The sequence below is a fragment of the Homo sapiens genome, chromosome 1 (assembly GCF_000001405.40).
Source record: "Homo sapiens chromosome 1, GRCh38.p14 Primary Assembly".
Classification (NCBI taxonomy): Eukaryota; Metazoa; Chordata; class Mammalia; order Primates; family Hominidae; genus Homo; species Homo sapiens.
In genome coordinates, this window is record NC_000001.11 from 224,219,226 (window position 1) to 224,232,186 (window position 12,961).

Sequence of the window (12,961 nt, forward strand, 5' to 3'; positions counted from 1 at the left end):
TGTGTAATTAGACTAATGAATTCATGCCCCTGAAGAATATTCCACAGAGAAGTGACATGATTTATTTTGTTTTATTTTTTTGAGACAGAGGCTGGAGTGCAATGGCGCAATCTCAGCTCACTGCAACCTCTGCCTCTCAGGTTCGAGTGATTCTTGTGCCTCAGCCTCCCAAATAGCTGGGATTCAGGCGTGCACCGACATGCCCAGCTAATTTTTTGTATTTTTAGTAGATGGGATTTCGCCATGTTGGCTAGGCTGGATTAATTTGCATTTTGGAAAGCAACTCTGGTTTCAGTGTACAAGAGATTTGAACAGGAGATTAACTAGGAAGCTAAAGTAATAGTTATGAAAGGTGATGAGAGCCTGAAATTAGGTCAGTGTCTATGAGAACAAAGGGGATGGATTTCAGAAACGTTTCTAAATCATAAATGACTGAACCAGAAGAACTGAAGCTGATGTCAGATTTCTCGCTTGGGTGATGAGGAACAAGGCAGGAAGAGCAGCAATGAGGATAGAGGTGGAAGGGCAGCTCAGGAATTTCCCTGGAGTTTTCCCATCTTGAGACTTCGGTCTTGGAAGACAGAATGGCTGTGACATAATGTGGACTTTTTACTTCCACCTCTAGGAAAGCGTTCTTTGGAACACCTTTGCTGAGTCTCTCTCTCCTCCGCTCAAGGGTAAGGCTTACTTGGTAGTGGGGCCAGATTGCACAGTGTCAACATGCTTTCTAAGGAAAATCCCAGAAGGCGGCATTCGTCCAGATAACCTTGCTGGCTGCATACATATTTGAAGCTTATGTGCACAAATGGAGTTCTTCCAGAAAGAGAGAATGGCATTTGTGGAGGGTGAATCAATTAATTCAGCTACTGCTTTTTCCAACCTCAGTTTCTCACCGTAAACAGACAGAACAGCATGAGCAAAGTATCTGGTGTTTTAGGGTAAAAAGAGGGAGGAAAGGGCGGCTAACTTATCCACCAGGCATACTAAAGTATATGTGGTTCTTTACTTTTAAGCAACCCACATATTCAACATTGATATCCCTATTGTTTTTTATTTTCATAATATGTATTTATAGCACTTCTTCAGAATCAGATGAAGAATCATGATATACAGTTTTTTTTTTTTTCCTAAGGCGGACAGAGTCTCACTCTGTCGCCCAGGCTGGAGTGAAGTGGTGCGATCTCGGCTCACTGCAACCTCCGCCTCCCGGGTTCACGCCATTCTCCTGCCTTGGCCTCCCAAGTAGTTGGGACTACAGGTGCCCGACACCACGCCTGGCTAATTTTTGTATTTTTAGTGGAGACGGGGTTTCACCATGTTAGCCAGGATGGTCTCAATCTCCTGACCTCGTGATCTGCCCGCCTCAGCCTCCCAAAGTGCTGGGATTACAGGCATGAGCCACCGTGCCTGGCTGTATATACAAATTTTTACCTTAAGTTTGTTAACTTTTTTTTTTTTTTTTTTTGAGACAGAGTTTTGCTCTGTTGCCCAGGGTGGAGTGCAGTGGCATGATCTTGGCTCATGGCAACCTCTGCCTCCCAGGTTCAAGCCATTCTCCTGCCTCAGTCTCCCTAGTAGCTGGGGTTACAGGCACATGTCACCACTCCTGGCTGATTTTTGTATTTTTAGTAGAGACAGGGTCTTGCCATGTTGCCCAGGTTGGTCTCCAACTCCTGAGCTCAAGCAATCCTCCTTCCTCAGCCTCCCAAAGTGCTGGGATTACAGGCATGTGCCACCGAGCCTGGCTAACTTTGTTAACTTTTTAACATAAGTAAACATACTTGCAGAAAAGAGCCCAGATAGGCATATAGCATGATGGATCTTCACAAAGGAAACATGACCATGTAAGCATCACCCGGATCAAGGAGGGCATGGTTGGCACACCAGGGGCAGCCCTAATGCATGCTCCCTGCCAGCCACCACCCCCCCTAAGTAGCAGCCTACTAATGGAATCAATTGGCTTTGTCTTTGAACTTTATATATATTAATCAGTAGAATCACACAAGAACTGGCTTCTTTCAATCAACATCTATGAGAGTCACCCATGTTGTCGTAGCCAGTTTGTCATTGCTGGGTCGTACTACGTTCTAGTGTGAGAAAACACCACATTTATCTGTTCTGCTGATGAACATTTGGTTTGTTTCTAGTTTTGATCTATTATGAATTATGCTGCTATTTTGGTGAACATATGTATGCATATTCATTTATATGTGTGTAGGAGTGGAACGTTGAGCTATTCACATGTCTCTCTCTTTTTTTTTTTTTTGAGACGGAGTCTCGCTGTGTTGCCCAGGCTGGAGTGCAGTGGCACCATCTCGGCTCACTGCAACTTCCACCTCCCAAGTTCAAGTGATTCTCCTGCCTCAGCCTCCCGAGTAGCTGGGATTACAGATGCGCAACACCACACCCGGCTAATTTTTGTACTTTTAGTAGAGACGAGGTTTCACCATGTTGGTCAGGCTGGTCTCAAACTCCTGACCTTGTGATCCGCCCACATCAGCCTCCCAAAGTGCTGGGATTTCAGGTGTGAGCCACTGCACCTGGCCAGCCACCGCGCCCGGCCGACATGTCTCTTTATCGTTTTTATTTTTTTGGGTCTTGCTTTGTCACCCAGGCTGGAGTGCAGTGGCACAAACATGGCTCACTGCAGCCTCAACCTTCTGTGCTCAAGTGATCCTCCCACCTCAGCCTCCCAAGTAGCTGGGACTACAGGCAGTCACAACCACACCCAGCTAATTTTTGCATTTTTTGTAGAAACGGGGTTTTTTCACCATGTTGCCCAGGCTAGTCTGGAATTCCTGAGCTCACGTGATCCACCTGCCTTGGCTCCCAAAGTGTTGGGATTACAGGCATGAGCCACTGCACCCAGGTCTTTATCATTTTTCATATGACAAAATCAAACTTCTTTTTATTTTTGAGACAGAGTTTCGCTATTGTTGCCCAGGCTAGAGTGCAATGGCATGATCTCAGCTCACAGCAACCTCTGCCTCCTGGGTTCAAGCAATCCTTCTGCCTCAGCCTCCTGAGTAGCTGGGATTACAGGCACACACCACCATGCTTGGCTAATTTTTGTATTTGTAGTAGGTATGGGGATTCATGTTGACCAGGCTAGTCTCAAACTCCTGACCTCAGGTGATTTGCCTGCCTCGGCCTCCCAAAGCATTGGGATTACAGGCATGAGCCACTGTGTCTGGTTCATATGACAAAGTCAAACTTCTATTACCTGGTGAGCAAACATTAAAAATTCTCACCTGGAGGAGCTGTGCCCCAGCAGTCTAATTTGGACAAACATGTTGTTGAAGAACAGTTCATTCACTTCACTTTATTCAATGCTTCCTGCATGCCAGAATCCGGGCTGGGTGCTACAGAGACACTGACTGACAGAATCCTTGCCCTTGGCCAGGCACAGGTGCTCACGCCTGTAATCCCAGCACTTTGAGAGGCTGAGGTGGGTGGATCACTTAAGTCCAGGAGTTCAAGATCTGCCTGGTCAACATGGTGAAACCTCGTCTCTACTAAAAATACAAAAATCAGCCGGGTGTGGTGGCACGCGGCTGCAATCCTAGCTACTCGGGAGGCTGAGGCAGGAGAATCCCTTGAACCTGGGAGGCAGAGGTTGCAGTGTGCCGAGATCATGCCACTACACTCCAGCCTGGGCAACAGAGGGAGACTCCGTCACCAAAAAAAAAGAAAGAAAAAGAAAAACAAATGCTGATAATAGTGATAAGCGTAAGTCTCATAATCCAAAGCAAAAGTGATAAGGTTAGAGTCTGAATCATGAGCAATACCATCTCACCCAAATCTATTTGGCTTCTCAGCTTTGGAAGGTGAGTAGTGCAATTTCAAATAGTGAGGGATTTGTCCAAAAAATGTATCCAAATCTGTTCAGTTCCTGAGTTCAAACAGTGAGATCTAGAATAGTGACAGATACAAAGTATAGAATACTATACTTTTACCTAAGTTATATCTACTTATACTTTTTAGGGTAATAAGGCATTTTACAACATTTTTACCTTTTGGAAATAAGATCTTCCAGTAAATACTACTTGGACATGTTTTCAGCAATAACCTACATACAAACATGAGAGACCACCTGCTTCTTCCCACTGACACCAGCCCCTCCCTTATCCAGGCCTTTGTTCTCTGCTCAGGTCATTTACCTCCTTCCTTCATCTTCTTTGCCTTCAGGATTCCGCTGACACATTGCATTCTTGGGAGAACCTTCCAATTCCAATTATGGACTAGCTGCTCCTACCCTGTGCTCTTCGCTTGGTGACTATTCTTATCCCTTTTCAGCCCTTCTCACACTGTTTTGTGACTGTCTCTTTATCTGTATTAAGTTGGATATGAATTTGGCTCCTTTCACACAGACCAAAATATAAATAGCTTAAGCAATATAAAGATCACACACACAAGTGAGGCAAATGACCATCTGAGGGTTGAGGAAACTCTGCTGCAAGGGTTGCCCACGATCCTGGTTTCTTGTGTTTTATTACTTTGTCATTCCCTAGGATGTTGTCTCCATTTACAAGGCCAAAACAGGTTCATCATCAGCTCATCACTCTCTAGTCCCGGGAAGGGCAGCATGGAGTTAAAATGACAGGTAGCACCTTCTTTTTTAAACAAGTTATGACTTTTCAAGGACATAGCCAGGGTCTTTGCTTCTGGGAGAAGGTGTGTTGAGTTCAATGTAGGCTGCCCTGAGTTAATGATGGGTTAATGCAACCCAAGTCACTTCCTTATAAGGATGTAACCAGAAGCTGTTCCCATCGCTTCTGTTTATATTATACTAGCCAGATGTTTGTTAGTCACTTTCCTGGCAGCAAGAGCCCTTCTTACTAAAAGGTAGAAGAAAAGAATGGACATTATAGGGCGATAAGCTCTCTGCCACACACACCACACTGGGCATTAAGTTCTGAGTTTGTTCACCATTATGTTAGTAATGCTCAGTACAAAGTGTTTAATGAAATGGCTAAATCTTTGACAGTGCTAGAACAGAGGACATAATTCCGGGAGTTTCTGAACAGAGGACTGGATCTTTTTCACAAGAGAAAGAAAAGTTAGACCGCTGTAGACCAGAATTCAGACTGTTCCGCGAGTCCCCTTGAACAGGCTCTGAACCTTGTTCTTTTTGATGATATGGGGATAACTCTATTTGATCCCTAGTATGAGTTGGGAGCGTTAAGATAACATTTGGCAGTGTGTAGTACACAGATCATGCTGAAAAATATGATCTTCCCTTCCATTTGCAGAAGTGCTGGCAACATCCACTGTCACACTACCTGTCGCAGTATCTGCCTGCTGTTCAACATGTACCATACCTGACTGGCAAAGCCAACGAACACGCAGCCAGTCTGCTCTCTTATGCGTTCTACATTTTATGTCGAGGTTAAGCTAAACTACCAGCAAGTTGGATACTTAGACCTAACATTTAATAGTCAAGAAGATTTTTGCTTTTTCTCATAACCCACATCTATGATATACCTGACTGTGTTTCTCAGGATTGGGTGGATGTCAAGCAGAGTTGAATCTGCTCCTCAAATTTAAGACCTTCTGGTGCATATTCCAATTTTCCCTTCATTCTTTTTTTTTTTTTTTTGAGACAGAGTCTCACTCTGTCACCAGGTTGGAGTGCAGTGGCACGATCTCGGCTCACTGCAACCTCTGCCTCCTGAGTTCAAGCAATTCTCTTGCCTCAGCCTCCCGAGTAGCTGGGACTACAGGCCATGCCACCACACCCAGCTAATTTTTGTATTTTTAGTAGAGACGGGGTTTCACCATATTGATCAGGATGGTCTTGATCTCTTGACCTCGTGATCCGCCCGCCTTGGCTTCCCAAAATGTTGGAATTACAGGCGTGAGCCACCGCACCCGGCTTCCCTTCATTCTTAATCACCTACCTTTAGTATGTGATCCTGATTTGCCTTTTTTTTTCTTTTTTGGTGTTCCCTCTTCTGGTGTCCTAAGGTACCCTCTTCTTCATGCCCTTTCACTGGGCATGGTCATACTCTGCTGAGATGTCTGAATCCTTCTGCGAACTCCTCAGAAAAACGACTGTGTTGGCTGGGCACAGTGACTCACGCCTGTAATCCCAGCACTTTGGGAGGCCAAGGTGGAAGGATAACAAGGTCAGGAGATCGAGACCATCCTGGCTAACACGGTGAAACCCCGTCTCTACTAAAAATACAAAAAATTAGCCGGGCGTGGTGGCAGGCACCTGTAGTCCCAGCTACTTGGGAGGCTGAGGCAGGAGAATGGCAGGAACCCGGGAGGTGGAGGTTGCAGTGAGCCGAGATTGCACCACTGCACTCCAGCCTGGGCAACACAGCAAGACTCCGTCTCAAAAAAAGAAAAAAAAAAAGACTGTTTTATTGACCTTTGTAACCCTGATTTGCTTTTAGTAACATTTTTTCACCACATTCTTTTTGTAAATTTTTTTTTTTTTTGAGACAGAGTCTCACTCTGTTGCCTAGGCTGGAGTGCAGTGGTGCGATCTTGGCTCACTGCAACCTCCGCCTCCGGGTTCATGCGATTCTCCTGCCTCAGCTTCCTGAGTAGCTGGGATTACAGGTGCCTGCCACCACGCCCGGCTAATTTTCATATTTTTAGTAGAGACGGGGTTTCACCATGTTGGCCAGGTTGGTCAAGAACTCCCGACCTCAGGCGATCTGCCCGCCTTGGCCTAGTGCTGGGATTACAGGCATAAGCCACCACGCCTGGCCTTGTAACATTTTTTTTTCTTTTTGTAGAGATGTGGGGGGTCTCACTATGTTGCCCAGGCTGCTCTCGAACTCCTGAACTCAAGTGATCCTCCCACTTAGGCCTCCCAAACATGCTAGGATTACAGGCATGTGCCACTGTGACTGGTCCACATTCTTAAAAGTAGCCTAAAAATTTTTGTAGAATGAGGTGAAGTAAAAATTTAAGAAGAAAGAAAAGTAGGTAACCCGACCCATCTATATATAACTTCCGGATATATTGTGAGCAACACTGTAAATTATGAGTTGAACACAACAAAAATCAAGCCCTTCACAAAGTATTGCCTAGGGACTCATCAAACATATAGAGGCCAAAGGAGAGTCAAATCTGGGACAGTTTGAATATCATAATGATAATAATGGATAATATATTAAAAATAGTAATACTTGACTTTGATGAGGAATGGACTTTATAGAGTTTCAAAGTAACTTCCCATAAAATACACATACATTACAAAGTGAAAAAAAAAGAGTAAAGAGTAACTTTGTAGTGTGAGAAACCTGGAAGAACTACCTCAAGTGATCACAGTGAACATCATGAGTAACAGGACAAACTGAAATCGCATGCCACATGACAAGCGCACAGTGTCACTTTGTAATCTGCCAAAGATGCATAACTTGAGTCTAATCACAAGGAAAACATCAGACACATCCACACTCAAGGAATTTTACAAAGTAACTGGCCTGAAACCTTCACAAGTGTCAAAAGTCAAACCTGAAGAAATGTTCCACGCTTAAAAGAGATTAAAGAATGTAGCAACTAACTGCAGTGGCCTCCTTTTAAAGCAGTGGTCCCCAACCTTTTAGGCTCAGGCACTGGTTTCGTGGAAGATAATTTTTCCACAGACAGGGTCAGGGGAGGTGGTTTCAGGAAGAAACTGTTCCACCTCAGATCATCAGGCATCAGATTCTCATAAGGAGGGTACAACCTAGGTCCCTCAAGTGCACAGTTCACAACAGGGTTCACGCTTCTATGAAAGTCTAATGCTGCCACTGATCTAACAGGAGGTGGAGCTAAGGCAGTAATGCTCGCTCGCCCACCACTAACCTCCCACTGTGCGTCCTGGTTCCTAACAGGAGACAGATAGGTACCTGTCTCCAACCTGGGGGTTAGGGACCTGTTTTAAAGGACATTATCAGGACAACTAGAGGAACGTGAATGGAGGAGGATTAGATGGCAGTGATGTATCAATGTATTAATTCCCTGACTTTGATGGTGGGTTATGTAGGAGAATATCTTCAAGTGTAGAAAATACACATGACAGTATTTGGGAGTGATAGGGCATCAGGTTGGCACTTATTCCTAGATGGTTGTGGAAGGCGGGGGAGGAGATCTCTGTAACTTTTCTGTATAGTCAAAATAGTTCAAAGTAAAAGTTTTATTTGAAAAATGTAACAGTCATTTTATTTCAGCAGTTTAAAAATTGTCCTTTTTCTTAAAGAGGAAGAAGGCATTTTCACACAAGGCTGGCCAGATGGGAAGAATCTTCAGCTTCAGCTTCAGCTTGGCCTCATTCATTTGAAAATAAAATGTTTACATGAGGCCGCGCCTGTGTCCAGCTGAAAGTGGGTCCTTCAGAGCGTGTGGGGGATTCTCTGCCGGCTTGATGGGCTAGCTCCTCTAAGCCGGCTGCTGGAGACATCACCGGCTGAGGGACTCCTGCAAACGTTCATACATGATTTGATCCTGAAAGGAGGGAGAACACAGAATACAGAGACCGTCACTGCTTGTTTTGGGCTGAATGGTGCCCCCCAAAATTCACATGCTGCAGTCCGCACCCGCAGGACCTCAGAATGTGATTGTAACTGGAGAGAGGGTCTTTATAGAGGAGACTGGATTAAAATGAGGTCATACAGGTAGACTCTTATCCAATATGACTGCTCTCCTTACAAAAAGAGGGGATTAGGGCACAGGAGGGAAGAGCATGTGCGCAGAGGGAAAAGCACATGCAGGCGCTGGGAGAAGACAGCCATCAGTGAGGACAAAGGCTCCAGAAGAACCAATCCTGCCCAACACTCTCCAGAACTGTGAGAAAATAAATTTTCCACTTTTTAAGCCACCCAGTCTGTGGTACTTTGTCATAGTAGCTCCTGCTGACTAACTTACTGTTGAAGAGAGGTGATATTTTACCTTCCTGCATCTAAATCCTAATCTAAATCCTACACATGCTCCTTTCCACAGGGGACTCCATGACATTCACAATCGTTGACTCAAGTTTTCCTAAAAAATCAGGTCAAGAGTCTTATGTCTATCTAATTAGTGAAGAAAGCACAATTCTAAACTACACTGAATCCAGATGGAAAGGAGGCAAAGGCAGAAGCTTCTTTTTTTGTTTTTTGAAACGGAGTCTCACTCTGTCGCCCAGGCTGGAATGCAGCGGTGCAATCTCGGCTCACTGCAATCTCTGCCTCCTGGGTTCAAGGGATTCCCCTGCCTCGGCCTCCTGAGTAGCTGGAACTACAGGTGCGCACCACTACGCCCGGCAAATTTTTTGCATTTTAGTAGAGATGGGGTTTCACCATGTTGGCCAGGATGGTCTCAAACTCCTGACCTCATGATCCACCCGCCTCGGCCTCTCAAAGTGCTGGGATTACAGGTGTGAGCCACTGCGCCAGGCCGGGAAAGTAGAAGCTTCTTACACTACATTAACATTCATAAGAAACTGCCAGAATGGGCCGGGCGCGGTGGCTCACACCTGTAATCCCAGCACTTTGGGAGGCTGAGATGGGTGGATCACGAGGTCAGGAGATCGAGACCATCCTGGCTAACATGGTGAAACCCTGTCTCTACAAAAATACAAAAAAATTAGCTGGGCATGGTGGCGGGCGCCTGTAGTCCCAGCTACTCGGGAGGCTGAGGCAGGAGAATGGTGTGAACCTGGGAGGCGGAGCTTGCAGTGAGCCGAGATCGCGCCATTGCGACAGAGCGAGACTCCGTCTCAAAAAAAAAAAAAAAAAAAAAAGAAATTGCCAGAATGTTTTCCAGTGTGGTTGTATCTACATTTTCAGCAACAATGTATAAGAGTTCCAGGCCAGGCGTGGTGGCTCAGGCCTGTAACCCAGCACTTTGGGAGGCTGAGGCGGGCCAATCACCTGAGGTTGGGAGTTGGAGACCAGGCTGACCAACATGGAGAAACCCTGTCTCTACTAAAAATACAAAAAATTAGCCGGGTGTGGTGGCACATGCCTGTAATCCCAGCTACTCGGGAGGCTGAAGCAGGAGAATAGCTTGAACTCAGGAGGCAGAGGTTGTGGTGAGCTGCGATTGTGCCATTGCATTCCAGCCTGGGCAACAAGAGTGAAACTCTGTCTCAAAAAAATAAATAAATAAATAAATAAATAAAAAGAGTTCCAGCTGTTTCATATCCTTGCCACCATTTAGTGTTGCCAATATTTTAAATTTTAGTCATTGTGGTAGGTGTGTAGTAGAATCTCACTGTGGTCAAATTAAAAAAAAATTTTTTTTTTTGAGACGGAGTCTCAATCTGTCGCCCAGGCTGGAGTGCAGTGGTGCAATCTTGGCTCACTGCAACCTCTGCCTCCCAGGTTCAAGCGATTCTTCTGCTTCAGCCTCCTGAGTAGCTGGGACTACAGGTGCGCAGTAGCTGGGACTACAGGTGCGCGCCCAGCTAATTTTTGTATTTTTAGTAGAGATGAGATTTCACTATATTGGCCAGGCTGGTCTTGAACTCCTGACTTCGTGATCTGCCCGCCTCAGCCTCCCAAAGTGCTGGGATTACAGAAGTGAGCCACCGCGTCTGGCAAATTAACATTTTAAATGTTGGGTGGCAATTCCACTCCTGTGTATTCATCCCAAAGAAATACTTGAAGTGTGTTTTTTCTTCTGTGTTTATTTGTTTGTTTTTGAGACAAGGTTTCGTTCTGTAACCGAGGCTGGAGTACAATGGTGTGATCATGGCTCAGTGTAGCCTCAACCTCCTGGGCTCAAGTAATCCTTCTGCCTCGGTCTCCTAAGTAGCTGGGACTACAGGTGCATGACACCATGCCTGGCTAAGTTTTAATTTTTTTGTAGAGACAGGGTCTCACCATGTTGCCCAGGCTGATCTTGAACTCCTGGGCTCAAGCCATTCTCCCACCTCTGCCTCCTGAGTAGCTGAGATAACAGGCATAAGCCCCTGTGCCCAGCTCCAGAGTGATTTTTTTTTAACCCTTCTCCCACCTATGGTGAAGATGTTTTTATTTCCCTGAAATGTATGGGTAAGTCCCTATGGCTTAGTTTGGGTACAGTCTAGCTCCAAGAAATACAAAGCCATTTATCAAAAAGCGTAGAGTAGGTCAAATAATACTTGAATCAGATGATTAAAATTCTGAGATTGTGGGCTGGGCGCAGTGGCTCACGCCTGTAATCCCAGCACTTTGGGAGGCCAAGGCGGGTGGATCACGAGGTCAAGAGTTTGAGACCAGCCTCACCAATATGGTGAAACCCTGTCTCTACTAAAAATACAAAAAATTAGCCAGGCATGGTGGTGCGCACCTATAGTCCCAGCTACTCAGGAGGCTGAGACAGAAGAATCGCTTGAACCCAGGAGGCAGAGGTTGCAGTGAGCCAAGATCATGCCACTACACTCCAGACTGGGTGACAGAGCGAGACTCTGTCTCAAAAAAATAAAAAAAAAATCTGAGATTGTGGAGGCAGAAGAGGTCATTCTCTTTCTGAATAAAGTTGTTAGAGAATCTAGTTAGGAAAACTGTGTTCTAGTCCCTAAGAAACATATAAAATTAAAATCTCTCAAGAACATTCTCACAAAGGCAATTATTTTGCTTGTTTTCAGATCAAAATGAACCATGTAATTTCTTTTTAGGAAGTAGAAGTAGTATACAAAACAATCTGTAAAAGAGTTTAATTCAGCCGGGCGCGGTGGCTCACGCCTGTAATCCCAGCACTTTGGGAGGCAGAGACGGGCGGATCACGAGGTCAGGAGATCGAGACCATCCTGGCTAACATGGTGAAACCCCGTCTCTACTAAAAATGCAAAAAATTAGCCGGGGATGGTGGCGGGCACCTGTAGTCCCAGCTACTTGGGAGGCTGAGGCAGGAGAATGGTGTGAACCCGGGAGGCAGAGCTTGCAGTGAGCAGAGATCGCACCACTGCACTCCAGCATGGACGACAGAGCAAGACTCCGTCTCAAAAAAAAAAAAAAAGAGTTTAATTCATGAGGTCATATCTACTGGTCTAAAATTCTAGTTTCCTTTCTCTATGCATTTAATGGCATTGCTTACCTTTTTTGATATAGATGATCTTACTTTCTTGAAAGCTTCTTCAAAATGCTTATGACTAACCTTGAGTTCACCTATGGAGTAAATGCACAAATATACACATCTCAGTATCGTATGGTAACTGACTTAGAACTTAACTTCCTTTGAAAGACTTCAAAACTTTCAAGGGGTCCACTAAAGAGATCAGTGATGAGATGGGCTCTGTTCTTTTTCAGAACAGTATTCTAGCCAGATATATTCTGCTCATCAGATTTTAATCCAAAACCACCCAAAGAGATCTGCCACTCATAAGTTGGTAACTTTTTGTAGGCCTCTTTGCATTGTTTAACTTAATGGTGATGCCTATGAACAAGAGCCAGAATTATTCAGATAATTCAAATAAATGTAACTGGAATAGAAAGTAGGATTCCATAGTATTAATATTTAAGAGTATGCAACACACAATGAGATCTTATGGAGCCATAATATCATAGAATATTTTATATATAATATATCTCAGCACTGGTTTAGAAGGGAGCTTTAGGTCGGGCGCGGTGGCTCAGGCTTGTAATCCCAGCACTTTGGGAGGCCGAGGTGGGCGGATCATGAGATCAGGAGTTCGAGACCAGCCTGACCAATATGGTGAAATCCCGTCTCTACTAAAAATACAAAAAAAATTAAGTGGGTGTGGTGGCACACGCCTGTAGTCCCAGCTACTCGGGAAGCTGAGGCAGGAGAATTGCTTGAACCAGGAGGTGGAGGTTGCAGTGAGCCGAGATCGCGGCACTGCACTCCAGCCTGGGCGACAGAGCAAGACTCAAGTTTAGAAAATAAATAAATAAATAAATAAAAATACAGACAGGGAGGCCGGGCGCAGTGGCTCACACCTGTAATCCCAGCACTTTGGGAGGCCGAGGCAGGCGGATCACGAAGTCAGGAGATCGAGACCATCCTGGCTAACATGGTGAAACCCCGTCTCTACTAA

General features: G+C 45.1%; 1 protein-coding gene and 1 long non-coding RNA gene across 10 annotated transcripts in view; one reads left to right on the forward strand and one right to left on the reverse strand.

Annotated features, from left to right (window-relative positions):
• Positions 1-387: 387 nt before the first annotated feature.
• On the forward strand, positions 388-8,818 carry LOC101927164 (uncharacterized). The gene is made up of 3 exons (NR_110668.1): positions 388-677; positions 4,189-4,603; positions 8,201-8,818. It is a non-coding gene; the product is annotated as an uncharacterized LOC101927164 (long non-coding RNA).
• NVL (nuclear VCP like) overlaps positions 8,120-12,961 on the reverse strand; it is a 102,828-nt gene continuing 97,986 nt past the window's right edge. For all 9 annotated transcript variants that reach the window (NM_001243146.2, NM_206840.3, XM_017001383.2 and 6 more), the window contains 2 exons: positions 12,001-12,071; positions 8,120-8,445 (listed from right to left, as the gene is read on the reverse strand). In NM_001243146.2, coding sequence (NP_001230075.1) covers positions 8,401-8,445; positions 12,001-12,071 — 116 coding nt within the window. In that variant the 3' untranslated portion in view covers positions 8,120-8,400. The remainder of the gene's footprint in view (positions 8,446-12,000; positions 12,072-12,961) is intronic.